The 25,502-nt window shown below is 48.5% G+C and overlaps 1 protein-coding gene across 1 annotated transcript in view; it reads left to right on the forward strand.

Moving 5' to 3' along the window:
• Positions 1-25,502, forward strand: part of EEF2K (eukaryotic elongation factor 2 kinase) — an 82,461-nt gene that overhangs the window by 46,147 nt on the left and 10,812 nt on the right. The window contains exons 7-16 of the mRNA NM_013302.5: positions 4,324-4,473; positions 4,829-4,961; positions 5,219-5,346; positions 6,070-6,271; positions 8,038-8,105; positions 10,686-10,763; positions 12,394-12,456; positions 13,966-14,100; positions 14,264-14,452; positions 21,202-21,326. Of these exons, the coding sequence (NP_037434.2) occupies positions 4,324-4,473; positions 4,829-4,961; positions 5,219-5,346; positions 6,070-6,271; positions 8,038-8,105; positions 10,686-10,763; positions 12,394-12,456; positions 13,966-14,100; positions 14,264-14,452; positions 21,202-21,326 (1,271 nt within the window). The remainder of the gene's footprint in view (positions 1-4,323; positions 4,474-4,828; positions 4,962-5,218; positions 5,347-6,069; positions 6,272-8,037; positions 8,106-10,685; positions 10,764-12,393; positions 12,457-13,965; positions 14,101-14,263; positions 14,453-21,201; positions 21,327-25,502) is intronic.

Here is a 25,502-nt window from a genome sequence, read left to right on the forward strand (position 1 = left end):
CCTATTTCCCCAGAAGTTCCAATAAAAGTCCCAGAGCTGCGTTTCATTGGCTCTGATTAAGTCAGATCCCTATTGCCGAGCCAATCACAGTGGCCAAGGGGCAGGAATATGCAGATTGGGCACACCCTAGCCATGTGCCTGCCCTTAGAGCTAGGAATGTAGGTGTTCCACCCAGACCACAGGGACTGAGACTGGAAAAGGTGAGATTCCCAAGAAAAAGCGGAAGAAAGAGCTGGGAATGTATATTAGTCCGTTTTCACACTTCTGATAAAGACATACCCAAGACTGGGTAATTTATAAAAGAAAAAGAGGTTTAATGGACAGATAGTTCCATGTGGCTGGGGAGGCCTCACAATCATGGCAGAAGGCAAAAGGCACATCTTACCTGGTGGCAGACAAGAGAGATTGAGGACCAAGCAAAGGGGGTTTCCCCTTATAAAACCATCAGATCTCGTGAGACTTATTCACTATCATGAGAACAGTATGGGGGAAACCACCCCCATGATTCAATTATCTCCTACCAGGTCCCTCCCACAACACGTGGGAATTATGGGAGCTACAATTCAAGATGAGCTTTGAGTGGGGACACAGCCAAACCATATCATAGTGGATACTATGTCTGCTCTTTGGGAAACCCTGGGCTCAAAGAGGCTAAATGACTTCCCCAACCAGGCAGAGCTGTAGCCAGGTCTCAAATGCAGGCTTTTCAACCCCCTGCTAGGTTGGCACCTTCATTTGAGCCCCTAGGGTGATGAGTGACTGAGGCCAAGCAGAATTCCCTGTTGCCTTTCGGCATTTGAGGAAGGATCCATGCCTCTGCCCTGCATGAGCCCACAGCTGAGATCTTCCACAGCTTGAGCATCTACTACATACAACGCACAGTCTCCTGGGTGTGCAGAATTTATTGAGCACCTGCTGTTTGCAGAGCCCTTGATGAAGCATACTTGAGGCAGGCGCAAGAAGCCACAGTCCCCACCCTGGGGGGCTGTGGCTTCCTCTGCAATTTGCGGCCTTCCAGCCTGGCCTCCTTTCTCTTCCTCCACAAGCTTGTTCCTGCCCCAAAACCTTGGCCCTGGCTGTGGGCTTGGCGGGCATCTTGTGTCACCGTAATTCTTGCATGGCTAGCTACTTCTTATAGTTCAGGTCTCAGATCCTGTGTCACCTCCTCAGCCAGCCCATCTCAGACAACCCTAAGAAGTGGTCCCTCTGCCCCAGTCACCTCTGTCACATCATTCTAACTTTTTTTTTTTTTCCTGTTCTTTGGAGCAGTTAGTATGTCATTCATTTAGTTAATATTTTAGGTGCTTCTCTCCCCTAAAGGCAGAGATTTTATTTTATCATGTTCACTGCTGTCTCCTAGTGCCTAGGTGTCCAGTAAATAATACTGTGGTAGGCCTGGCACAGTGGCTCATGCCTGTAATCCCAGCACTTTGGGAGGCTGAAGTGGGCGGATCACCTGAGGTCAGGAGTTCGAGACCAGCCTGGCCAACATGGTGAAACCCCCGCCTCTACTAAAAATACAAAATTAGCTGGGCATGGTGGTGCACGCCTGTAATCCCAGCTACTTGGGAGGCTGAGGCAGGAGAATCACTTGAACACGAGAGGCGGAGGCTGCAGTGAGCCGAGATTGGGCTACTGCACTCCGGCCTGGGTGACAGAGCAAGACTCCATCCCCAAATAGTAGTAGTAGTAGTAGTAGTAACAATAATAATAATAATAATAATAATGTGGTTGACTTAAGGGAGGGAGAGAGACGTGGTTGTTTGAGAAGGTGCTGGTTGTCCACTGTGGCTGTACCACTGCCCCTCGCCCAGGGAGCCCTCTGGCCCAGCAGGTGGCCCTGCTGTAAGTTTCCTTGTAGGGATGGGACCAGCCTTTGGGCAGAACCCTCTGAGAACCGCCGCTCCCTGCCTTCCCCTCAGGCCGGTTCTCAGAACCCATTGAAGCCTTGTTTGGGGCAAGTTCTCACCTCTCAGATCAGGACCCCTTCGGCCTCTGCATCTGTTGTCTGCATGTCTGGTGACCCACTCTCCATGGATGGTCGTTTCCTTGGGAAACCTGGACCTAATCCTCCCAGGAGGTGGCATTGAGGAGGACATGGGAACCAAGGATGAGTCCTTGTGTAACAGGGCAAGAGGTGCAAGCTAGAGTCCCTAATCTCCCCTACTCCACTTTACAAACCATATGCACTATTTATACATTTTCTTCTGTGTACAAAATTAAACATAGACTTTATAAAAACAAAAAAAATTCGGCAAGGAATGTCAAAGTTCCCTATAATTTCCCATTGCAGGGAGAAAACTGCTGTTTAGAGGTTGGTTTATATTTCTCTAGAATTGTAGCTCCTGATAAAAATGAGTTGCCAGGCACAGTGGCTCATGCTTGTAATCTCAGCACTTTGGAAAGCCCGGGGTGGGGGGGCGGATCACTTGAGGTCAGGAGTTCAAGACCAGCCTGGCCAACATGGTAAAACCCATCTCTACTAAAAATACAAAAATTAGGCAGGCATGGAGGCGGGTGCCTGTAGTCCCAGCTACTCAAGAGGCTGAGGCAGAGGAATTGCTTGAACCTGGGAGGCAGAGGTTGCAGTGAGCCAAGATCGTGCCACTGCAGTCCAGCCTGGGCAACAGCCTGGGCAATAAAATATAAAATAAAATGAAAGCAAACATTGCCTGGCTCCTTTTTGCATCAATAAGTTTAATTCACAGACTGAGCCTGAGACCCTCTTTATGCAGGTAAAGAAACTGAGGCACAGAGAGGTGAAATTCAGAAATGTTCCCAAATTCACAGTTTTACTGTAAGGCATAGTCTAAGTTGCTTAGCAAACAGACCCACAAAATATGTGTGGACACGAAATGGTTTCTTTTTCACTTGTGTGGAGGTCTTGCATTGGTGGGTGGCTTGGGGTAGGCTTGTTTGTGCCTCATCTCCTTGAAGCCATCTAGAGAACTCGTTCCTTTGGTCTTTTTTCTCTGCCATCCCCTCAGGGGTTTGCCATGGACCACATAATCAATTCTGGCTCCCAAGCAGAGTCCACCTTACAGGGCAGGCTGGAGTTACATCATTGCAATGCTCACTTCCCATTGGCTGGGCACAGTCATGTGGCCACACTTAGCTGCAAGGGAAGCTTAGCAATGTCATCCCTAGTGGGTGGCTGTGTACCCTTTTAAAACTCAAAGGAAAACAGAGCTGAGCACAGTGGCTGCAGCTTGTCATCCTAATGCTCTGGGAGGATGCTGGAAGACAAGAGGATTGCTTGAGGCCAGTTCTTGAGGCCAGTTCAAGACCAGCCTAGGCAACATAGTGAGACCTCGTCTCTATAAAAAAATTTAGATATGAGCCATGTGTAGTGACACACGCCTGTAGTCCTAGCTTCTCGGGAGGCTGAGGTGGGAGGATCACTTGAGCCCAGAAGTATGAGGCTGTAATGAGCCATGATTATGACACTGCACTCCAGCCTGGGCGACAGAGTGAGACCCTGTCTCTAAAATAAATTTTTTTTTTTTTAAGACGGAGTCTCACTCTGTCATCCAGGCTGGAGTGCAGTGACATGATCTTGGCTCACTGCAACCTCTGCCTCCTGGGTTAAAGTGATACTCCTGCCTCGACACCCTGAGTAGCTGGGATTTTTGGTACGCACAAGCACGCCCAGCTAATTTTTGTATTTTTATTTTATTAATTTTTTTTTTGAGACGGAGTTTTGCTCTTGTTGCTCAGGGCTGGAGTGCAGTGGTGCAATCTTGGCTCACTGCAACCTCTGCCTCCCAGGTTCAAGTGATTCTCCTGCCTCAGCCTCCAGAGTAGCTGGGATTACAGGCATGTGCCACCATGCCTGGCTAATTTTGTATTTTTGGTAGAGACAGGGTTTCACCATGTTGGCCACGGTTGGTCTCCAACTCCTGGCCTCAGGTGATCCACACACCTTGGCCTCCCAAAGGGCTGGGATTACAGGTGTGAGCCACCATGCCCAGCCTTAATTTTTGTATTTTTAGTAGAGGCAGGATTTCACCATGTTGGCCAGGCTGGTCTCGAACTCCTAACCTCAACTGATTCACCTGCCTCAGCCTCCCAAAGTGCTGGGATTACAGATGTAAGCCACCGTGCCCAGCCTAAAAATATATTTTTTTTAATTTTAAAAAAATTAAAGGAAAAGAGGAGATTAGATTCTGGGCATCATCAGGAGCTCCTACAATAGAGAGCTAGTAAGTCATGGAGCCAGGGTCTGAGCCCAGGCAGGCGAGTTCCTCTGAGCCCTCCCCTTGCCGCTTCTCAGAGGAGGTGCGCCTGGGCCCTCCCGCCTGAGCCCACTCCCCATCCCACCAGGTGGACATCATGCAGATGTGCATCATCGAGCTGAAGGACAGACCGGGCAAGCCCCTCTTCCACCTGGAGCACTACATCGAGGGCAAGTACATCAAGTACAACTCCAACTCTGGCTTTGTCCGCGATGACAACATCCGCCTGACGCCGCAGGTGAGGCCGAGCTCACCTCCACCCTCTGCCCACCACAGCCCTTGGGGTGAGATCCTGGCCAGGCTCAGCCCCTAAAGAGGAAGGTCCCTGTGGGCTTGGAGTCTCACCCCCAGAGAAGCCTCTTGGAGCATTCAGAAGGAGACCCGTCACCCCATGACAGCTTCTGTCACCTAAGGTGGCCACAGGACCTGCAGCCCAAGGTCCCTGCCCAACTGAAGAGGCCTTTTTCCTTTGTCTTTTCCTCTATATAACTCCTTGAAGAGAAAGCCCCTCAGCATGGGCAGAGGCGTGGCCAGTGCCTGCACAGACCTCAGCCTGTCTCTTGACATCTCGTTTTCCTTCCTGTCCCCTGTAGGCCTTCAGCCACTTCACTTTTGAGCGTTCCGGCCATCAGCTGATAGTGGTGGACATCCAGGGAGTTGGGGATCTCTACACTGACCCACAGATCCACACGGAGACGGGCACTGACTTTGGAGACGGCAACCTAGGTACGTGGGGAAAGCCAGCCTGTTTCTGCAGAAACCACGCTCCCTGCTAAAACCTCTGAGTTCTTCGTACAGCCAAGGAAACAGGCTGAGACACTGTACGCGCTTTTTCAAGATCATGGAGATGGGAGCCTGGATGTCTGATGCCTCCCAGCTTGGCACGTTTTATACCTGCCCTGGCCATATGTATGAGGCCCACCACTGCCTGTCCCCCGTCACAGAGCAAAGCAACACTCCAGACACCCCCGCTCTGTCCACAGGTGTCCGCGGGATGGCGCTCTTCTTCTACTCTCATGCCTGCAACCGGATTTGCGAGAGCATGGGCCTTGCTCCCTTTGACCTCTCGCCCCGGGAGAGGGATGCAGTGAATCAGAACACCAAGCTGCTGGTGGGTGCCCAGTGTGACCCTGCTTGGCCTGGCAGGCCCTTCTGCTACTTGCAAAGCAAGCCCTGCTCCCCTGTGTGGTGACAGCCAGGTCAAGCAGTGCTTAACTGATGAATACCAGGGCTGGAAGCATCTGTCCCATCCATGCCCCAGCCCGTCCCCTCCAGCTCAGTGCACAAAGCCCTCCTGAGCGTCCTTCCAATCGAGCAGCTGGTATCTGCTTAGGTTGGGCCCATTTTTTACCAGAGTGAGGGGAACAGGCACGTGGAGATAGTGAGAAGGCATGTGGTGTGTGTGTGTGTTTGTGTGATGTATTGACAAATGACTGAACTAGTCTTAGACCTGGCTCTCCAGGCACCTCACCAACATACCTCCCATCCTCCCATTGCTACTTGGACCAGGGACAAGAGAATGTTGCAAAGACCAGCTTGGGATGCTGGACATAGAGTGGAATGCTTTCTCCAGCTCTGGGCTGTGGAATGTGGTCAGTGCTTTAGGGGATACTGGCAGGTCCTCTGAGCCTCTGTTCCAGATGCCCTTTCTTGGAGGCCTTAGGTTTAATCCCTGACTGATTTTTTATTTTTTAAGACAATATATCAGCTCCTAAACAGGCATGTTTAGGAGCTGTGGATGAAGGGGTTTCAGGGTTAGAGGGAACAACAGGAAGAGCCCTTTAATTCCCAGAGGGTGTGTGCGTGACATGAGTATCCCTATTAATGTCCCTAGCAATCAGCCAAGACCATCTTGAGAGGAACAGAGGAAAAATGTGGGAGCCCCCAAGTAAGGACCCTCTCTGGGAGCCGGCCACCCCTGCTCCGTCCCCTTTCAGAGAACTCTGGAGACGAGAACATGAGCGACGTGACCTTCGACTCTCTCCCTTCTTCCCCATCTTCGGCCACACCACACAGCCAGAAGCTAGACCACCTCCGTGAGTGACGGTTCGGTCCCTAGTCACTGTGATTGGAGGGGACAGGTGGAGCAGAGCTAAACCAGCTTTCATTTATGTTAGAAAAATCAGACATGCTAATCGAAAAGGTTCATGGCCCCAGTGGTTTTATAGGTGAGTTTCATTGAGTGAACTTTCAAAACAGATCATCCAAATGCTATAAAAACAACCCCTATTGTAGGAAACAAAGTAACTTTTATCAGTGTGTTTTATGAAACCAGCAAAACCTATATAATAAATTTGACAAACTAAAAAAGAAAATTATATCCCAACCTTATTTAAAATTTGTATTTGTGTATAGAGAACAAAAAAAAAATCTAAATAGATATTAACAAATAAAAATAGTACTATGTTAAAAGGTTCACCTGTCACAGTTAAATAGGGATTTCACAGGAATCTGAGGGTTGTTCAATGTTAGAAAAGCTATGAATGTGATATTAATGGGTCAAAGGAGAAAAACAGAATCATTATTTCTGACACTGAAAGAGTGGAGTTTGCTGATGATTCAGATGAGAGTCTGTAGGAAAGGATAGAGGCAAGACTGACCCCAGGGTATTGGCCTAAAGAGCTGGAGGTCATGTATTCAGGGAAAGTGTGAGCGGGAGCAGGCTCAGAGCAGGAGAGCAAGATTTTATTGTTTAGTTTTTTAATTTTTCTCATTTTGATACCTTTGAAAGAGAGAAAGATTTTAGTGTCAAACATTAAAGAAGCCCTTTAGATGTTTCCACTGGAAGGTCTTTGGAATAGTCTGGAACAGGAGTCAACAGACTTTTTTAAAAGGTCAGAGAGTAAATATTTTAAGCTTTGCAGGTCATTCAGTCTCTGCATTTGGAGCATGAAAGCTACCATAGAAAATATTAAGTGAGTGGATGTGGCTGTGTTCCAATAAAACTCTATGGATGGTGAAATTTAATTTTTGTCATCCATTTAAAAATGTAAACACTGTTCTTACAAACTATAAAAACAGACAGATAGATTTGGCTGTAGAGGGCAGGAGACAGAGATAGGGAACCACCAGGAGATGGTTGGTGTTTTTTTTTTGTTTGTTTTGTTTTGAGACGGAATCTCTCTCTCTGTCACCCCGGCTGGAATGCGGTGGCGTGATCTTGGCTCATTGCAATCTCTACCTCCTGGGTTCAAGCGATTCTCCTGCCTCAGCCTCCCAAGTAGCTGGGATTACAGGTGCATGCCACCATACCCAGCTAATTTTTGTATTTTTAATAGAGATGGGGTTTCACTATGTTGGCCAGATTGGTCTTGAACTCCTGACCTCAGGTGATCCACCTGCCTCGGCCTCCCATAGTTCTGGGATTACAGGCATAAGACACCGTGCCCAGCTGAAGATGGTTTTGAAGCTATCTGAGGCCCACTTCTTGAGCCCCAAATGTATAAACGTCTGTTCTTCCTTCACAACTGCATTTTATTGAGGACCAAGTGGTGGCCAGGCACATATGCTAATAAACACATTACAAGGATAATTGCATTGTGACAACCCTGAGGACACACATAGGTGACACCACTTGGCCAGAATCATGTAGCTGGCAAACAGCAGACTTAGAATAAGTTCTCAAGGAAGAACTTTAGCCTCCAGGTGCTGATAACATTCTTCTCCTTTTTTGTGCCTTTCTTTAAAGCTTAAAAAAAAAAAAAGGCTTGGTGGCAGGTATGGACCGCCCTAGGCCGTGGGTTGGTCTTATGCATGTTCCAGTAGTGGAACCAGGACATGATGTCTGTTTCTCCCTGCCCAGATTGGCCAGTGTTCAGTGACCTCGATAACATGGCATCCAGAGACCATGATCATCTAGACAACCACCGGGTGAGTGTGAAGGGAGGGAGGCTGCAGGCTTCAGACCCCAGCAGGGGTAGGAGTGGATTCACTCCCAGAGTGAATCTTCAGCTTCGGAGGTGGGCAGCCTAGCCCAGGCACTGCCAGGAGGGCACAGAATGGGGGAATTAGGGAGGATGCAGATGAATGTCAGCCTCCAGTCCAAGGCTGAGCTTTCCTCTGAGAAAAGGTGGGTCCCTTGCAGTTCCCAGAGATGGTTAGGGAAGAGGGACTCCCAGTCAGCAACAATGCGATCTTGTAGTAAATGCCAGTCTCAGCTCCAGGTTTGGTTTGACCCCACATGTGTTGGTTGTCCTATAGAGCCCTAATACTGGGTCTTAGATGTGTAACACATAGCACAGTAAGCCATGTGTTCTAGCTCTTCACACCTAGCTCTCCAGTTAGATAAACAGAACATTTCCTGAAGCTTTGGGTTGACTTGGTGGTAAGAAACTGAAGGCATCTTATCTGCATTCTCACAAATGTATATTATGGCAAATTATAATACTCTCTATGCTTGTGTGTGTGTTTGAAATATTTCTTAGTAAAATTGGCCAGGCATGGTAGCTCATGCCTATAATCCCAGCACTTTGGGAGACCAAGGTGGGCAGATCACTTGAGCCCAAGAATTTGAAACTAGCCTGGGCAATATGACAAGACCCCCATCTCTACAAAAAAATACAAAAGTTAGCCAGGCATGGTGGCACATACCTGTAGTCCCAGCTACTCAGGAGGCTGAGGTAGGAGGATCTCTTGAGCCTGGGAGGCAGAGGCTGCAGTAAGCCATCATCACACCACTGCACTCCAGCCTGGGTGACAGCGAGATCTTGTCTCAAAAAAAAAGAAAAAACAAATACCTTTTAGTAGAGGCTGGGCGCAGTGGCTCACGCCTGTAATCCCAGCACTTTGGCAGGCCAAGGGGGGCAGATCACTTGAGGTCAGGAATTTGAAGACCAGCCTGACCAACATGCCAAAACCCCATGTCTACTAAAAATACAAAAATTAGCCGAGTATGGTGGCAGTTTCCTGTAATCCCAGCTACTCAGGAGGCTGAGGCACGAGAATTTCTTGAACCCAGGAGGCGGAGGTTGCAGTGAGCAGAGGTCGCACCACTGCACTCCAACCTGGGCGACAGAGCGAGACTCAGTCTCAAAAAAAAAAAAAAAGAAATACTTCTTAGTAGAGGCGGGGTGTGGTGGCTCACACCTGTAATCCCAGCACTATGGGAGGCTGAGGCAGGCAGACCACTTGAGGCCAGGAGTTTAAGACCAGTCTGGCCAACATGATGAAACCTCATCCCTACAAAAAATATAAAAATTAGCCAGGCATGGTGGCATGTGCCTGTAATTCCAGCTACTTAGGAGGCTGAGGCAAGAGAATTGCTTGAACCTGGGAGGTGGAGGTTGCAGTGAGCTGAGATCACGCCACTGCACTACAGCCTGGGTGACAACGTGAGACCCTGCCACACACACACACACACACACACACACACACACACAGAAAAGATACTTCTTAGAAGAATAAAGAAGGAAATAAAACTATTCCGTTACTAATTGTGCAGGTGACATGCAGAGAGAGCTATAATTCAATGTTGGTAGGTACATGGCTGAAGTTTTAGAGATTCTAAATTATACCAGATTCGCTTTCAGAACAGAACTCAGACCTGGGAGAATAAAAAATATGCCCAACTAGGCCAGGCACGGTGGCTCACGCCTGTAATCCCAACACTTTGGGAGTCCAAGGCAGGCGGATCACAAGTTCAGGAGTTTGAGACCAGCCTGGCCAATATGGTGAAACCTCGTCTCTACTAAAAATACAAAAATTAGCCAGGCGTGGTGGCAGGCGCCTGTAGTCCCAGCTACTTGGGAGGTTAAGACAGGACAATCACTTCAGCTCAAGAGGTAGAGGTTGCAGTGAGCTGAGATCGTGCCACTGCACTCCAGCCAGTGTGACAGAGCGAGACTCCATCTCAAAAAAAAAATAAAAATGTGTGGTTTTGGTTGAGGGCTTATTTGTATTAAATATTGTTCCCAATGCTATATTTTTGTCCGTGGGTCATAGCCCTTAACCAGCCTTTGTTTTTCTGCCTGTGAAGTGGGTGAGTCACTCTCAGTAAAGCACTTCCTGTGATCCACACTCTCAGAATGTAACAGTGCATTTCACCCACACAGCCCTTCGATGTAGGGGCTATAATGAATCCCATAACTAAGGACACTGATGCTCAGAGAAGTTAAGCAACTGCCCAAGGTCTCAGCTGGCAAGAAATAAAGCCAGGATTTGAGCCCAGGTCATTTGGCTGTAGAGCCCAAGGTCCTTACTGTTACCTTATACTGCTCCCTCGTTGGCCAGGCAGGTCTTGAACTTGTGTCCTCAAGTGATCTGCCTGCCTCGGCCTCCCAAAGTGCTGGGATTACAGGCATGAGCCACCACACCCGGCAAGGGACAGCAGGAGCAGGGTGTTAGGTAATGGGACAGAGGGGAGAAAGCTAACAGTTGGGGTGTTGAGATGTCATAACCATTTCCAGGTGCTCAGGGGACCACCAGGACCCTAAGGCCGTCTTCTCTCCACAGGAGTCTGAGAATAGTGGGGACAGCGGATACCCCAGTGAGAAGCGGGGTGAGCTGGATGACCCTGAGCCCCGAGAACATGTAAGGAACCCCCAGGAAATGAGACCGGTGTCACCTGTTGCCTTGTTTATCCTCCAGGAAAATGAAAACTCCCCTTCCTGGAGGGGGAATATGAGTGGGTCCTGAGAAGATAACAAGTAAATTAATAAAGAGTATTTCAGGCCGGTCATGGTGGCTCACGCCTGTAATCCCAGCACTTTGGGAGGCCAAGGCGGGTGGATCACCTGACATCAGGAGTTCGAGACCAGCCTGGCCAACATGGTGAAACCCCGTCTCTACTAACAATACAAAAATTAGCCTGGCATGGTGGTGCATGCCTGTAATCCCAGCTACTGGGGAAGCTGAGGCAGGAGAATCACTTTAACCCAGAAGACAGAGGTTGCAGTGAGCCAAGATTGTGCCACTGCACTCCAGCCTGGGTGACACAGTGAACTTTGTCTCAAAATAAAATAAAATAAAGAGTATTTCAGATAAAGATAAATGCAAAGAAGATAAAACAGGATCATGTGGACCAGTAACGGGGCAAGTGTGGAGGCTTAGATATAAGGCTGATAATGGCTGACAAATCTTATGGTGAAGTGGGAGTCCTGGGCTGCTGAGCAGAGAGGATCCTGGGTAATAGCTGGACCCACTCATAGGCAGGATCCTGTGAGGCCCCAGGGAGGAGGGCCTTGGAGGTCAGTTTCCTTGGGTAGCCTCCCAGCAGCATCCTGGTGAGGGCAACCTCAGACAGTATCTGCCATTTAGAGGTCTTACCCTGTGCTGAAATGGAGCCTGCACATCAAGGCCAGTCTTGCCAGGACACCTCTGATCTCAGCTTTATGATTGTGAATAAAGAACATGCTGGCCGGGCGTGGTGGCTTATGCCTGTAATCCCAGCACTTTGGGAGGCCGGGGCAGGCAGATCACTTGAGGCCAGAAGTTCAAGACCAGCCTGGCCAACGTGGTGACCCCATCTCAACTCAAAATACAAAAATTAGCCGGGTGCAGTGGTGCACTCCTCTAGTCCCAGCTACTCAGGAAGCCGAGGCATGAGAATCACTTGAGCCTGGGAGGTGGAGGTTGCAGTGAGCCAAGGTCATGCCGCTGCACTCCAGCCTGGACCACAGAGTGAGACTGTCTCAAAAAAAAAAAAAAAAAAAAAAAAAAAAGTAAAACAGCTGGGCCTGGTGGCTCACCTGCAATTCCAGCACTTTAGGAGGGCAATGTGAGAGGATTGCTTGAACCTGGGGAGTTGGAGGCAGCAGTGAGCTTTGATCACACTGCTGCACTCCAGCCTGGGCAACAGAGCAAGACCCATGTCTAAATTAAAATATAAACTAAACATGCAGTAGGAGCTCTGCCCGTTACCCCAGTGGCTTTGTGTTGGGATCCTGCACCATCAAGTCAGTTCCACCTGCTCACACACGGAGGGGGACAGCAAGGCTGTGACTGCACCAGCGTTGTCATCCCTGCCTGTGACCCAGCATCCCTTCTGCTTGGCAGAGAAGGGTTCCAGTGTCACCTGGGAACATAGGGCCAATTTTCTGAGATAAGGGTCACCTAGGAGGGCCAGGCTGGTTCCAGGGAGGAGGGCTGGACCAGCTCTCAGGAGAGGTTCCTGGGAAGAAGCTTGTCGCTTTGGATCAGTGTAATTTCTTCCTCCGTTCAGGGCCACTCATACAGTAATCGGAAGTACGAGTCTGACGAAGACAGCCTGGGCAGCTCTGGACGGGTAATGCGCCCTGAGGCACCCTTGTCTCTGCCTCTTCCCTGTCTCCTCCAGGCTCTGTTGCTGTTTCTCCTGTCTCATATCTCTGCTGCCTGCCCATCTGTCTTGCACATGTGCTAAAGGAAGATTTTGCAAAGCAGCAAATCTGGGCAAATGCTCTTTGAACCTCTGCAGGGCAGGATGCTGGGGGATTTGTGGGGAGGATTAGAGAAGAGCAGCTCAGCCCCATCCTGGAGGGGAAATCACCACAGGGACAGCTCCTGTCTTAAGTGCCTGCCATGAAGGCACTTCGCAGTAATCAGTTTCCTTCTTGCAACCACCCAGAGAGACAGGCTAATGTGACTCTCATCCCCATTTTATGTATGAGAAAACTGGGCTCTTAAGCAACTTTCCCCAGGTTACCCTCGCTTGTATGTCTAACAAGCATCAGCAAGTCTGGGAAAGACCAGCTCTGTGCCCCACCCACCCCTCTAAGTGATTCCCTCACACGCTTTGAACTGCCCATCTTTGGAGCCTTTACTAAGGCAAGTCTCTTTCCTACCTGCAAAGTCCTTTCTCTCCCTCTGTCATCTCTCTTCAAATCCTACCTGCTCTCCAAGCCTGGATCCCAGGGCCCCTCGTCCAGGAGCCTTCCCTGGCCTCCACCACAGGCATGACTCTGGCATCTCCCAGAACACTGATTATTTACCCTGTGGTATTTTGTAGCCAGATTAGGATCTTCTCAGTTAGGTATGGAACAGGGTTGCTCAAGCAAGGCACTACTGGCATTCTGGGCTGAATCGTTCCTTGTTGAGGGGGCTACCCTGTGCATTGCAAGATGTTTAGCATGCAAACGTGCACACGCACAGCTGCCTGGCTGTATCCTGCAAGAGCCTTTGGAGGGGGCATCTTTGGCCAGGAGAAATGATGTGTTTTTTAAACCCATTTCCTACAGCAACCTGCTGATGTTGCTCATGTCGTTGTGGTGCCTTGCAGAGGAAAGCAAGGGGATTTGCTGGAAGGTCTGAAGTGGGAGTCTTCTGGTGCCTTATATGGGGAGCTGGCGAAGGGGTTGGTTTAGAGTGAGACCCCCACCCCCAACCAAATCCAGATTGGTAAATGATGGGGAAGCGCTTCCTTGAGCTGCTGAAATCTGTTCCACTGGCTCTTGAATGCATGAGTTGATGGAATTTGAATGATTAAAATTGGAGCTGTATTAGCCGGGCATGGTGGTATGCACCTGTCGTCCCAGCTACTCGGGAAGCTGAGGCAGAAGAATCGCTTGAACCTGGGAGGTGGAGGTTGCAGTGAGCCGAGATTGTGCCATTGCACTCCAACCTGGGCAATAGAGTGAGACTCTGTCTCAAAAAAAAAAAAAAATTGGAGCCATGTTTTGCCAATAAACTTTGACATCGTGAGGGTTCACTCCCCATCTCCCTCCAGCCAGGCTCCTGTGTAGTAGGGGCTGCTGACAGCTGTGATGCTGCGTCCACCCCCAGCCCCTCGCTTCCCTGGCCGGTTCTTTCCCTTCAGGTATGTGTAGAGAAGTGGAATCTCCTCAACTCCTCCCGCCTCCACCTGCCGAGGGCTTCGGCCGTGGCCCTGGAAGTGCAAAGGCTTAATGCTCTGGACCTCGAAAAGAAAATCGGGAAGTCCATTTTGGGGAAGGTATCGGCGATGCCCATTTTGGAGCCCTGTCTGCACTAACCTGGAGCCCCCCAGCTCCAGCCTCTCCTCCGCTAATCACTTCCTCCCGCAGGCTGGCTGGGCGGTCTTGGGTGCGGCTTTGGCCCGCCAGACAGCCAGGCCGACACCGTAGTCTGTGTGGCAGGTCCATCTGGCCATGGTGCGCTACCACGAGGGTGGGCGCTTCTGCGAGAAGGGCGAGGAGTGGGACCAGGAGTCGGCTGTCTTCCACCTGGAGCACGCAGCCAACCTGGGCGAGCTGGAGGCCATCGTGGGCCTGGGACTCATGTACTCGCAGTTGCCTCATCACATCCTAGCCGATGTCTCTCTGAAGGTGAGCAGGTGGCGGGGACCCAGCTGCAGGTGGGGGTGGGACTTGGTCACCCTGTGGTTCACCTGCCTCCCATCCTGGAAGTCATGCATTCACCTGCCTTCTATCCTGAGGTTTATGCATGCCACAAAAATGTCCCAGGCACTGGTTTGGGGGCAGGCCCCTCCAAGTTAGTTGAAACTGGCAGAATCGATCTCTGTCTTTGGAGAGGGAGGGGAAGGTAAGTCACGTTTCCAGGTAATAACGACATGGTGTGATGGGGGAAGCAGAAGACACCAGTGGAAACATGTGAGGAAGGGCTGTAACTGGGGCCTGGAGGGGTTGGTTCAGGCTTCCTGCTCATCAGTTCTGTGTGTATCCCTAGTGGCTGGGGCCTGGCACTGAGTAGATGCTTGGTAGAGATTCGTAGAATGAACAGATGAAGGGATACCTACCTCAGGCCAGAGTGGTGGCTTAAACCTGTAATCTCAGCACTTTGGGAGGTTGAGGCGGGTGGATCACATGAGGCCAGGAGATCGAGACCAGCCTGGCCGACATGGTGAAACCCCGCCTCTACCAGAAAAATACAAAAGTTAGCCGGACGTGGTGGCACACACCTGTAATCCCACCTACTCGGGAGGCTGAGGTGGGAGAATCTCTTGAACCTGGGAGACAGAGGTTATAGTGAGCTGAGATCACACTACTGCACTCTAGCCTGGGCGACAGAGTGAGATCCTGTCTCCAAAAAAAAAAAAAATTGGGGGGGATATCTGCTTTCGACCTGAAGGCCCAAAGGGAGTGAGCCAGGCCAAGTGGGGGAGGTGAGCAGCTCAGGTAGAAGGAACAGCATGTGCTTAGGCCCAGAGGTGAGAGACAAGGTGCACCCGTGTAGCTAGAGGTGCAGGAGCTGAGGCAGAGCTGGAGCTGAAGCAGCAGGGTGTGGACCTGCAGGGAAATTGCGTAGGAGCCTGCTGCTGCTTCTGTCCCTGGTCCGTGAGCAGAGGGAGGAAAGGATTGAATGGGATCTGGCAAGGCCCAGGCAAAGTGATCTTTTCCCAGGAGAAGTTGAGAAGCCCTTGGCGGGCACATCCTCCCATCTGTTCCCATCCTCCCCATCACGTGGGCCAACGTTGCGCATGGACAGGTGGCCTAGGCTCATTGTGGGTGCAGGACATCAGCTCTCCTTGACGGGTTGGTTTGGCTGTGGCCCAGTGGGTGAATGGATCTCAGACTCGAGGGTGGGAAGATACTCCAAAGTCCTTTATTTATTTAGCTTTTTGAATTGGTAATTACATTCATGTGATTAAAAACTTATTTATTTATTGTTTTGTTTTTGTTTTTTTTGAGACAGAGTCTCGCTTTGTTGCCCAGGCTGGAGTGTAGTGGTGCGATCTCGGCTCAATGCAACCTCCACTTCCCAGGTTCAAGCAATTCTCCTGCCTCAGACTCCCGAGTAGCTGGGATTACAGGTGCCTGCCACCGCACCCAGCTAATTTTTAGTAGAGACAGAGCTTCACCATGTTGGCCAGACTGGTCTGGAACTCCTGACCTCAGGTGATCTGCCCACCTCAGCCTCCCAAAGTGCTGGGATTACAGGTGTGAGCCACCATGCCGGACTATTTATTTATTTTAGAGACAGGTTCTCACTCTGTCACCCAAGTTGGAGTGCAGTGGCATGACTGTAGCTCACTGTAGCCTTGACCTCCTGGGTTCAAGCGATCCTCCTGCCTCAGCCTCCTGAGTAGCTCGGACTATAGGCCTGAGCCACCATGCCCGACCAAAGAAGTTTTTTTTTTTAATTTTTAAATATAAAAAGCTTAACGATGGGTGCAGTGGCTCACACCTGTAATCCCAGCACTTTGGGAGATGGAGGCGGGTGGATCACCTCAGGTTAGGAGTTCACAACTAGCCTGCCCAACATAGCAAAACCCTATCTCTACCAAAAATATAACAAATTAGCCAGGTGTGGTGGCATGCGCCTGTAATCCCAGCTACTTGGGAGGCTGAGGCAGGAGAATCACTTGAACCTGGGAGACGGAGGTTGCAGTGAGCAGAGATCACGCCACTGCACTCCAGCCTGGGCAACAGAGCAAGACTCCATCTCAAAAAAAAAAAGCTTTACAGTGAAAAATCTGCCTTCCACCTTCCCCACATCCTCTCATTCTTTGAATAATAGGTAGCCATCATTATTAGTTACTTATATGTAATTCCAGAGTGTATTCACTTCCTAGGACTTCCTTAAGAAATTCCACAAACCAGTTGGCTTATAACAACAGAAATTTGTTCTCTCACAGTTTTGGAAGCTAGAAGTCCAGAAATCAAGGTGTCAGTAGAGCCATGCCTTCCTCTGAAGGCTTGAGGGGAGAATCCTTCCTTGTTTCTTCGGGCTTCTGGGGGTTGCTGGCAATCTTCAGCGTTCTTGGCTTGGCTCACTGAAATCTCTGTCTCCATCTTTCCCTCGTGTCCCTATCTCCCTGTTTCTTCTGCTCTTGTAAAGACAGCAGTCATATAGGATTTAGGGCCCACCTAACATCCAGTGTGACCTCATCTTAATATAACTATTTTTTTTTTTTCAGTCTTGCTCTGTCATCCAGGCTGGAGTGCACTGGCAGGATCTCAGCTCACTGCAACCTCCACCTCCCAGGTTCAAGCAATTCTCCTGCCTCAGTCTCCTGAGTAGCTGGGAATACAGGTGCCTGCCACCACACCTGGCTAATTTTTGTATTTTTAGTGGAGATGGGGTTTCACCATGTTGGCCAGGCTGGTCTTGAACTCTTGGCCTCAGGTGATTCACCCACCTCGGCCTCTCAAAATGCTGGGATTACAGGCATAAGCCACAGTGCCCAGCCAGTATAACTAATTATATCTTCAAGGACCCTATTTCCAAATCAGATCACATTCTGCATGGACGTGAATATTGGGAGGATATTGTTCGGCCCAGTACACGGTTTCCATATACAAATATGAAATAGGCTCCTATTTTCACCCTGCTTTTTCCTCCAAAGTTAGCATCCTACACACACACTCCTGAACCTAGTGTTTTTCACTTGACAGTGTCCTGTGGACATTTTACCTCAGTGGTATAGAGATAGCTTCCTGATTCTTTTTTTTTTTTTTTAATTTGAGACAGAATCTCGCTCTGTCACCCAGGCTGGAGTGCAATGGTACAATCTCAGCTCACTGCAACCTCCACCACCCGGTTCAAGCAATTCTCCTGCCTAAGCCTCCTGAGTAGCTGGGATTACAGGTGCCTGCCACCAAACCCGGCTACTTTTTTTTTTTTGAGATGAAGTCTTGCTCTTGTCCTCCAGGCTGGAGTGTGATGGCATGGTCTCACCTCACTGCAACCTCTGCTTCCTTGGTTCAAGCAATTCTCCTGCCTTGGCTCCCCGAGTAGCTGGTTTTACAGGCACCTGCCACCACGCCTGGCTAATTTTTGTATTTTTTTTTTTAGTTGAGACAGGGTTTTACCATGTTGGCCAGGCTGGTCTCGAACTCCTGACCTCATGTGATCCACCCACCTCAGCCTCCCAAAATGCTAGGATTACAGGTATGAGCCACCATGCCCAGCCTAATTTTTGTATGTTTAGTGCAGATGGGGTTTCGTCATGTTGTTCTCAAATTTTTGACCTCAAGTGATCTGCCTTCCTCAGCCTCCCAAAGTGCTGGATTACAGGTATAAGCCACCATGCCCAGCCAGCTCCCCGATTCTTTTTGACAGCTGCATAATGTTCTGTTATATGTGTGGGGCATACCTGTGAGCTATTGATGGACACTTGGGTTGGCTGTATTCTTTTGATATCACAAAAATTGCTGTAGTGACTGGCCTCCTGCATAATGGGTGGAACCTCATGAAACTGCTATTTTGGAAGGTCATAAATGGTAGAATATTGGCAGTTTCTTATGGTTCAGTCAGATTACATCATTTGACATGTGGGCAGGGCGTCGCCCACCAGTTTTTGTTTCATGATGGTGAGACAAAAACTTAGATGGTGAGGAGGAGGTTTGGTTGGAAGAGAGGATTTTTCACTTTTTTGTCTCTCTCTATAATCTCTCTCTCTATATATATGTGTGTATATATGTGTGTGTGTGTATATATATATACATATTTTGTTTTTCTTTTTTTTTTTTTTTTGAGACAGGCTCTCGCTCTGCTGCCCAGGCTGGAGTGCAGTGGCATGATCTTGGCTCACTGCAACCTCCGCCTCCCAGGTTCAAACGATTCTCCTGCCTCAGCCACCCAAGTAGCTGGGATTACAGATGTGCACCACCACGCCTGGCTAATTTTTGTATTTTTAGTAGAGAAGGGATTTCACCATGTGGGCCAGGCTGGTCTCGAACTACTGACCTCAGGTGATCTGCCCACCTCGGCCTCCCAAAGTGCTGGGATTACAGAGGTGAGCCACCACACCCGGCCTTTCTCTGGAATCTCTATGCTCATTCAGCCAGTGGTGTGCTGGGGAACATTTGACAATTGACTCTTGGAGGTGGGAAGGAAATGTGTGCCCACATATATGTAAATATATTAAATTTTGCTAATTTAAAGAATAAGTAGGCTGGGCATGGTGGCTCACACCTGTAACCCCAGCACTTTTGGAGGCCAAGGCAGGAGGATTGCTTGAGTCCAGGAGTTTCAGACCAGCCTGGGCAACATAGCAAAACTCCATCTCTACAAACCCCCCACCCCCAAAAAAACAAATTAGCCTGGTGTGGTGCACCTGCCTGTAGTCCCAGCTACTTGGGAGAGTGAGGCGGGAGGATAAAAACCATACACTACAGGAGTTTGAGGCTTCCGTGAGCTATGATGGAGCCACTGCACTCCAGCCTGGGCAAAAGATCAAGACCCTGTCTCAAAAAAAAAAACAAGAAAAAATAATATGTGGTATATGGTTTACAAATAACAATGAAAAGTAAATTTCATATCATCAACTCTCACACAATACTTGCACTGATTTTTGCAAACTCTTACACCCATAGCCAACCTATGGTTGCAATTGATGGAGAAGTGTAGTTCTGACATAAGTGAGATGAAAGTGAAATTAACAAAGACCTATGTTAGAACTGGAACTTCATTTGCCTCTGATGTGAGCGACCTCCTTCCTGAATCAGATGGTAGTTTTAAATACTGGAAGGATATTTCTTCAATTTGCTGTACTCGTCACAATAGAATAGCTACAGGCATGACCCGCTTGTTAGTTTCATCTGCAGTGTTCATGTTTTCCACGCCTTTCTTACAATAGAAAAAACAGTACATCAAACCCTGATTTGCAGCATTGTCTGCTTTCTACCAGGTAAGTTATATGTGACCCAGCAGTTTCACTCATAGCCATAAACCCAAAAGAATAAAAACACACTTTCACACAAAAACTTGTACACAAATCTTCATAGCAGCATTATTCATAATAGCCAAAAAATGGAAAACAACCCAAATGTCTGTCAGTGGATGAATGGATAAACGAAATGTGATACAGCCATACAATGGACTATTATTTGATCATAAAAAGGAATGAAATATTGATATGCGCTACAACACAGATGGACCGTGAAAGCACTGTGCTAAGTGAAAAGAGTCGCAAAGGACCACATATTGTATGACTATATTATTATGAAATGTCCAGATCCAGAATAGGCAATCCATAGAGACAGAAAGTAGACTAATGGAAGCCTAGTGCTGAGCAGGATGAGGAGAGTAGGGGTAGAGGGAGATTGACAGTTAAGCGGTATGAGATTTCTTTCTGGATTGGTGAAAGTATTCTGAAATTGACTGGTGATGGCCATACTGTTCTGTGAATATACTAAAAACTACGGATGTGTACTTTTTTTTTTTTTTTGAGACGGTGTCTCTGTCACCCAGGTTGCAGTGCAGTGGCTTGATCTCGGTTCACTGCAACCTCCGCTTCCTAGATTCAAGCAATTCTTGTGCCTCAGCCTCCTGAGTAGCTGAAATTACAGGTATGCATCACCACGCCTGGTTAATTTTTGTATTTTTAGTAGAGACGGGGTTTCACCATGTTGGCCAGGCTGGTCTCGAACTGCTGACCTCGAACTGCTGACCTCAGATGATCCACCCGCCTTGACCTCCCAGAGTGCTGGGATTACAGGCATGAGCCACCCAGCCCAGCTGTGATGTGTACTTATGATGTGTACTTCTGATGCAGGGCAGGCAGGCCCCACATTGGAGCTTAGCCCAGGAGGGTTTTTTGCTTCACCCAGAAAAGAATTCAAGGGTGAGCCAAATGTAGAAGAAAACAGCTTTATTGAAGTGTCAGTGTTATAGCTTAGGCAGTGGTACAGCTCCATGACTGCTTCTACGGAATAGGGCTGCCCCACAGGCAGTGTGCTGAGATTAGCAGCTTAGGGCAGTTCTGCAGTCAGATTTATACCTACTTTTAATTGCATGCATATTAAGAGGCGGTTTATGAAGACATGTCTAGGGAAAGGGTAGTAACTTCTAGGTTGTGGGGCCATAGCCATAGAAACAGGCAGTAACTCTCAAGTGTTGCCCTGACAATGGTAAACTGACATGTTGCACAGGTGGGCGTGTCTTATGAAAAGCTGTTTTCCCACCCCATCCCTGTTTTAGCTTGTCCTTGATTTGTTCCAGTGTCTGAGCCAAGCCTCTGGAGTCAAGTGCCCCCTCCTATCTCACTTCTATAGCCTCCCAACCCGGAGCTCTCAAAAAACAGGGTGAAGATTGAGTAGTGAGATCTTGGCAGCCCTCGAGTGTAAGCCTCATTCACTCTTCTTTCTCCCTCTTTGGTTTGTATCAACAGGAGACAGAAGAGAACAAAACCAAAGGATTTGATTACTTACTAAAGGCCGCTGAAGCTGGCGACAGGCAGTCCATGATCCTAGTGGCGCGAGCTTTTGACTCTGGCCAGAACCTCAGCCCGGACAGGTACTGCAGCTGTCACCCAGGAGGAGCTGGTAGGAACCTGGGCTGCAGGTGGGCGCTTGTCCTCGGTATCAGCACAGGCCTGGGTTCCAGTCTTGGCTGCCCCATGACCAGTCCAGCAACCATGGGCAACTTATTTTACCTCCCTGGCCTCAGTTTCTTCATATTGTAAACTGGGAGTAATTATAGCACCTGTATCCTGGGGTTGTCCCATGAAGGGTAAACGAGATGCTGACTGTAACCCTTGCGGTGCCTGGCACATAAAGCATGTGGTATGGCTGGGCGCGGTGGCTCATGCCTGTAATCCCAGTACTTTGGGAGGCCAAGGCGGGCAGATCACTTCAGGTCAGGGGTTCAAGACCAGGCTTGCCAACATGGTGAAACTCTGTCTCTACTGAAAATACAAAAATTAGGGCCGGGCATGGTGGCTCACGCATGTAATCTTAGCACTTTGGGAGGCCAAGGAGGGCAGATCATGAGGTCAGGAGTTCAAGACCAGCCTGACCAACATGGTGAAACCCCATCTCTACTAAAAATACAAAAAAAGAAAAGCTGGCCTGGTGGCACACACCTGTAATCCCAGCTACTCAGGAGGCTGAGGCAGGAGAATCGCTTGAACCCGGGAGGCGGAGATTGCCGTGAGCCAAGATCGAGTCACTGCACTCCAGCCTGGGGTACAGAGCAAGATTCCCTCTCAAAAAAAAAAAAAAAAAAGATAAAAGTCATGTGATACGAGGCAGCCATTCTAACCAGTATAGGTAATGATTTGCCTGAGAAAAAAATCTGAAAGACTATGCAGCATCCAGGTGAGAGTGGGTATCCCTAGATAGGATTATGGGTGATTTTAATTGACTTTTCCTACTTATTATTATATTTTAGAAACAGGGTCTCACTCTGTCACCCAGGCTGGAGGACAGTGGTGCCATCATAGCTCACTGCAGCCTCTACCTCCTGGGCTCAAGCAGTCCTCCCGCCTCAGCCTCCTGAGTAGGTGGGACTACAGGCATGTACCACCACACCCAGCTAAATTTTTAAATTTGTTGGAGAGATGGGGTCTCACTATGTTGTTCAGACTGGTCTCGAACTCCTGGGCTCAAGCAACCTTCCCTCCTCAGCCTCCCAATGGGATTACAGGTGTGAGCCACCACGCCTGACTAGGGCAGGTATTTTGGCTCTATTTTTTGGGTGACTAAACTAGTTCTGAGATGTAAAGGGGCTTGCCCATGGTCAAATATTTAGCAAGTGGCAGAGCCAACTTACATCTTCTCACCCCTCCTCTGATGTACTGTCTACTGGCATGGAGGAGAGGTAAACAAAAAAGACTGACATGATTGTATTAGGTCAAATGTCAGTGTATACATATGGTGCCCATTGAGTGCACTGGGGAAGCACATCATGCATGGGGCGGGGCCTGGAGCTGGGCACTGAGTATTTGCATCTGTGCTTTCTCTTCCTGGCCTTTGTCTACCTTTTATTTCCATTTGAGGTGATAAGTTTTTATTGACTTGTAAAAGTTCTTTATATATTAAAGCTATTAACCCTTTGGTATACTTTTCTCTTTATTTTTTATTTTTATTTTTTAATTATTATTATTTATTTATTTATTTATTTTTGAGATGGACTCTCACTCTGTCAAACAGGCTTGAATGCACTGGTGCAACCTCAGCTCACTGCAACCTCCACCTCCTGGGTTCAAGTGATTCTCCTGCCTCAGCCTCCCAAGTAGCTGGTATTACAGGTGCCTGCCACTGTACCCGGCTAATTTTTATATTTTAAATACAGACAAGATTTCACCATGTTGGCCAGGCTTGTCTCGAACTCCTAACCTCAGGCAGTCTACCTGCCTCTGCCTCCCAAAGTGCTGGAATTACAGACCTGAGCCACCACTCTCAGCCTTTTTATTTTATTTTTGAGACAGAGTCTTTCTCTGTATCCCAGGCTGGAGTGCAATGGCGCGATCTCGGCTCACTGCAATCTCCACCTCCCAGGTTCAAGTGATTCTCCTGCCTCAGCCTCCCCAGTAGCTGGAACTACAGATGTGCATCATGATACCCAGCTAAATTTTGTATTTTTAATAGAGACAGGGTTTCACCATGTTGGCCAGGCTTGACTTGAACTCCTGACCTCGGGTAATCCTGCCTGCCTCAGCCTCCCAAAGTGCTGGGATTACAGATGTGAGCCACCATGCCTGGCCTATTTTTTATCTATTTATTTATTTTTGAGACAGGGTCTCTCTGTCACCCAGGCTGGAGTGCAGTGGTGTGATCATAGCTAACTGCAGCTTTGACCTGGGCTCAAGTGATCCTCCTGCTTAAGCCTCCTGCGTAGCTGGGACCATAGGCATGTGCCACCCTACCTGGCTAATTTTTATAATTTTTTGTAGAGACAAGGGCTTGCTATGATGCCCAGGCTGGTCTCAAACTCCTGGCCTCAAGCAATCCTCCTACCTCAGCCTCCCAAAGTGCTGGTATTACAAGTGTGAGCCGCTGTACCTGGCCACATTTCATTTTAAAAGACATTTTTTTTTTCAGATATGTCTACCATAGATAGAGGGAGGGCACAGATGCCACATAATGACCATTGTTTACTGGGTTTGGGGACACACTGGTTTTTAATATTTATTTAGTTAAAATCTATCAAAAGTATTTCTTTATTGCTTCTGCTCTAGTCATTTCCTTATTCTTCTTCCTTATTCAAAGCAGTTCCAACCCCACCCATGCAAAGAACATTAATTAAGGGCCAGCTATGGGTAAGGCAGGGCTCTGTGCAGGCCCAAATTTGCGTTTAAGGGATTCAGGCCCCAGAAGTTACTATCCAATAGGCGAAGGAGAAGGTGCTAGAAACGCCAAGGAAGGATGGACGCCCTCGCCAATGGGATAGCATCGGGTTGGGGTGGACAGGGGTCAGCGATTAGGCCTTTCCCATATGTTTTCAGGCCAATTTTGCTTTGCCCTTTAAGACCAGGGAAGGTCAGAGCAGAAAGGAGATAAACAATCTAGTCTAGTGTCTCCTAGTCAGTGTTAAAACCGAGCCCAGCATGGTGGCTCATGCCTGTAATCCTAACACTTTGGGAGGCTGAGGCGGGTGGATCACGAGGTCAGGAGATTGAGACCAGACTGAACAACACTCTGAAACCCCATCTCTACTAAAAATACAAAATTAGCTGAGTGTGATGGCAGATGCTTGTAATCCCAGCTACTTCAGCTACTTGGGAGGTTGAGGGAGAAGAATCACTTAAACCCGGGAGGCAGAGGTTACAGTGAGCCAAGATCACATCATTCCACTCCAGCCTGGGCAACAAGCATGAAATGCCGTCTTAAAACAAAAACAAAAGTTTGTTGAGCATGTCACCAATAATTTTCAAATGGTCCATTTTTTAAATTTAACTTTTATTTATTTATTTATTTGAGACACAATCTTGCTCTGTCACCCAGGCTAGAGTGCGATGGTGTAATCATAGCTCACTGTAGTCTCAACCTCTCAGGCTCAGGCTATCCTCCCGCCTCAGCCTCTCGAGTAGCTGGGACCATAGCCATGCACCACCATACCCAACTAACTTGTATTTTTTGTAGAGCTGGGGTTTTGCCATGTTGCCCAGGCTGGCCTCAAACTCCTGGGCTCAAGAGATCCTCCAACCTAGGCCTCCCAAAGTGCTGGGATCACAGGCATGAGCCATATCTGGCCATTTTTTAATAAGATAAAATAAAGTCAAGATTATTTCCTGAGCACCATCCCAGCCAGCCACTTGCTTGCTTTTTTTCATTTACCAGACATTTATTGACACTATGCTGTTTGCCAGACCCTGGGAATGCAGTAGACAAATACAGCAAAATAGACAAGGGTCTCCTGCCTTCATGGGGCTTACCTTCTAGTCAAGGGACACCATGATAAACAAGTGAATAAGGAGAATTAAAGATTTTGGTAGTTGTAAGAAACAGTGTTTGGGGGCAGAATCTCTAAAGAGGTGATATGTGAGCTGAGATTGGAGGGATGATGAGTGTCTTAGCCTGTTCTGTGCTGGTAACAGAATATCTGAGGCTGAGGAATTTCTCATGAACAGAAATTTGCTGGCTCTTAGTTCTGGAGGCTGGGAAGTCTAATATCAGTATGCCAGCGTCTTGCATGGGCCTTCTTGCTGTGTCATCACCTGGCAGAAGAGAAGGAGAGGGAGAGCAGGTC

Source organism: Homo sapiens, chromosome 16 (genome assembly GCF_000001405.40).
Source record: "Homo sapiens chromosome 16, GRCh38.p14 Primary Assembly".
Lineage (NCBI taxonomy): Eukaryota > Metazoa > Chordata > Mammalia > Primates > Hominidae > Homo > Homo sapiens.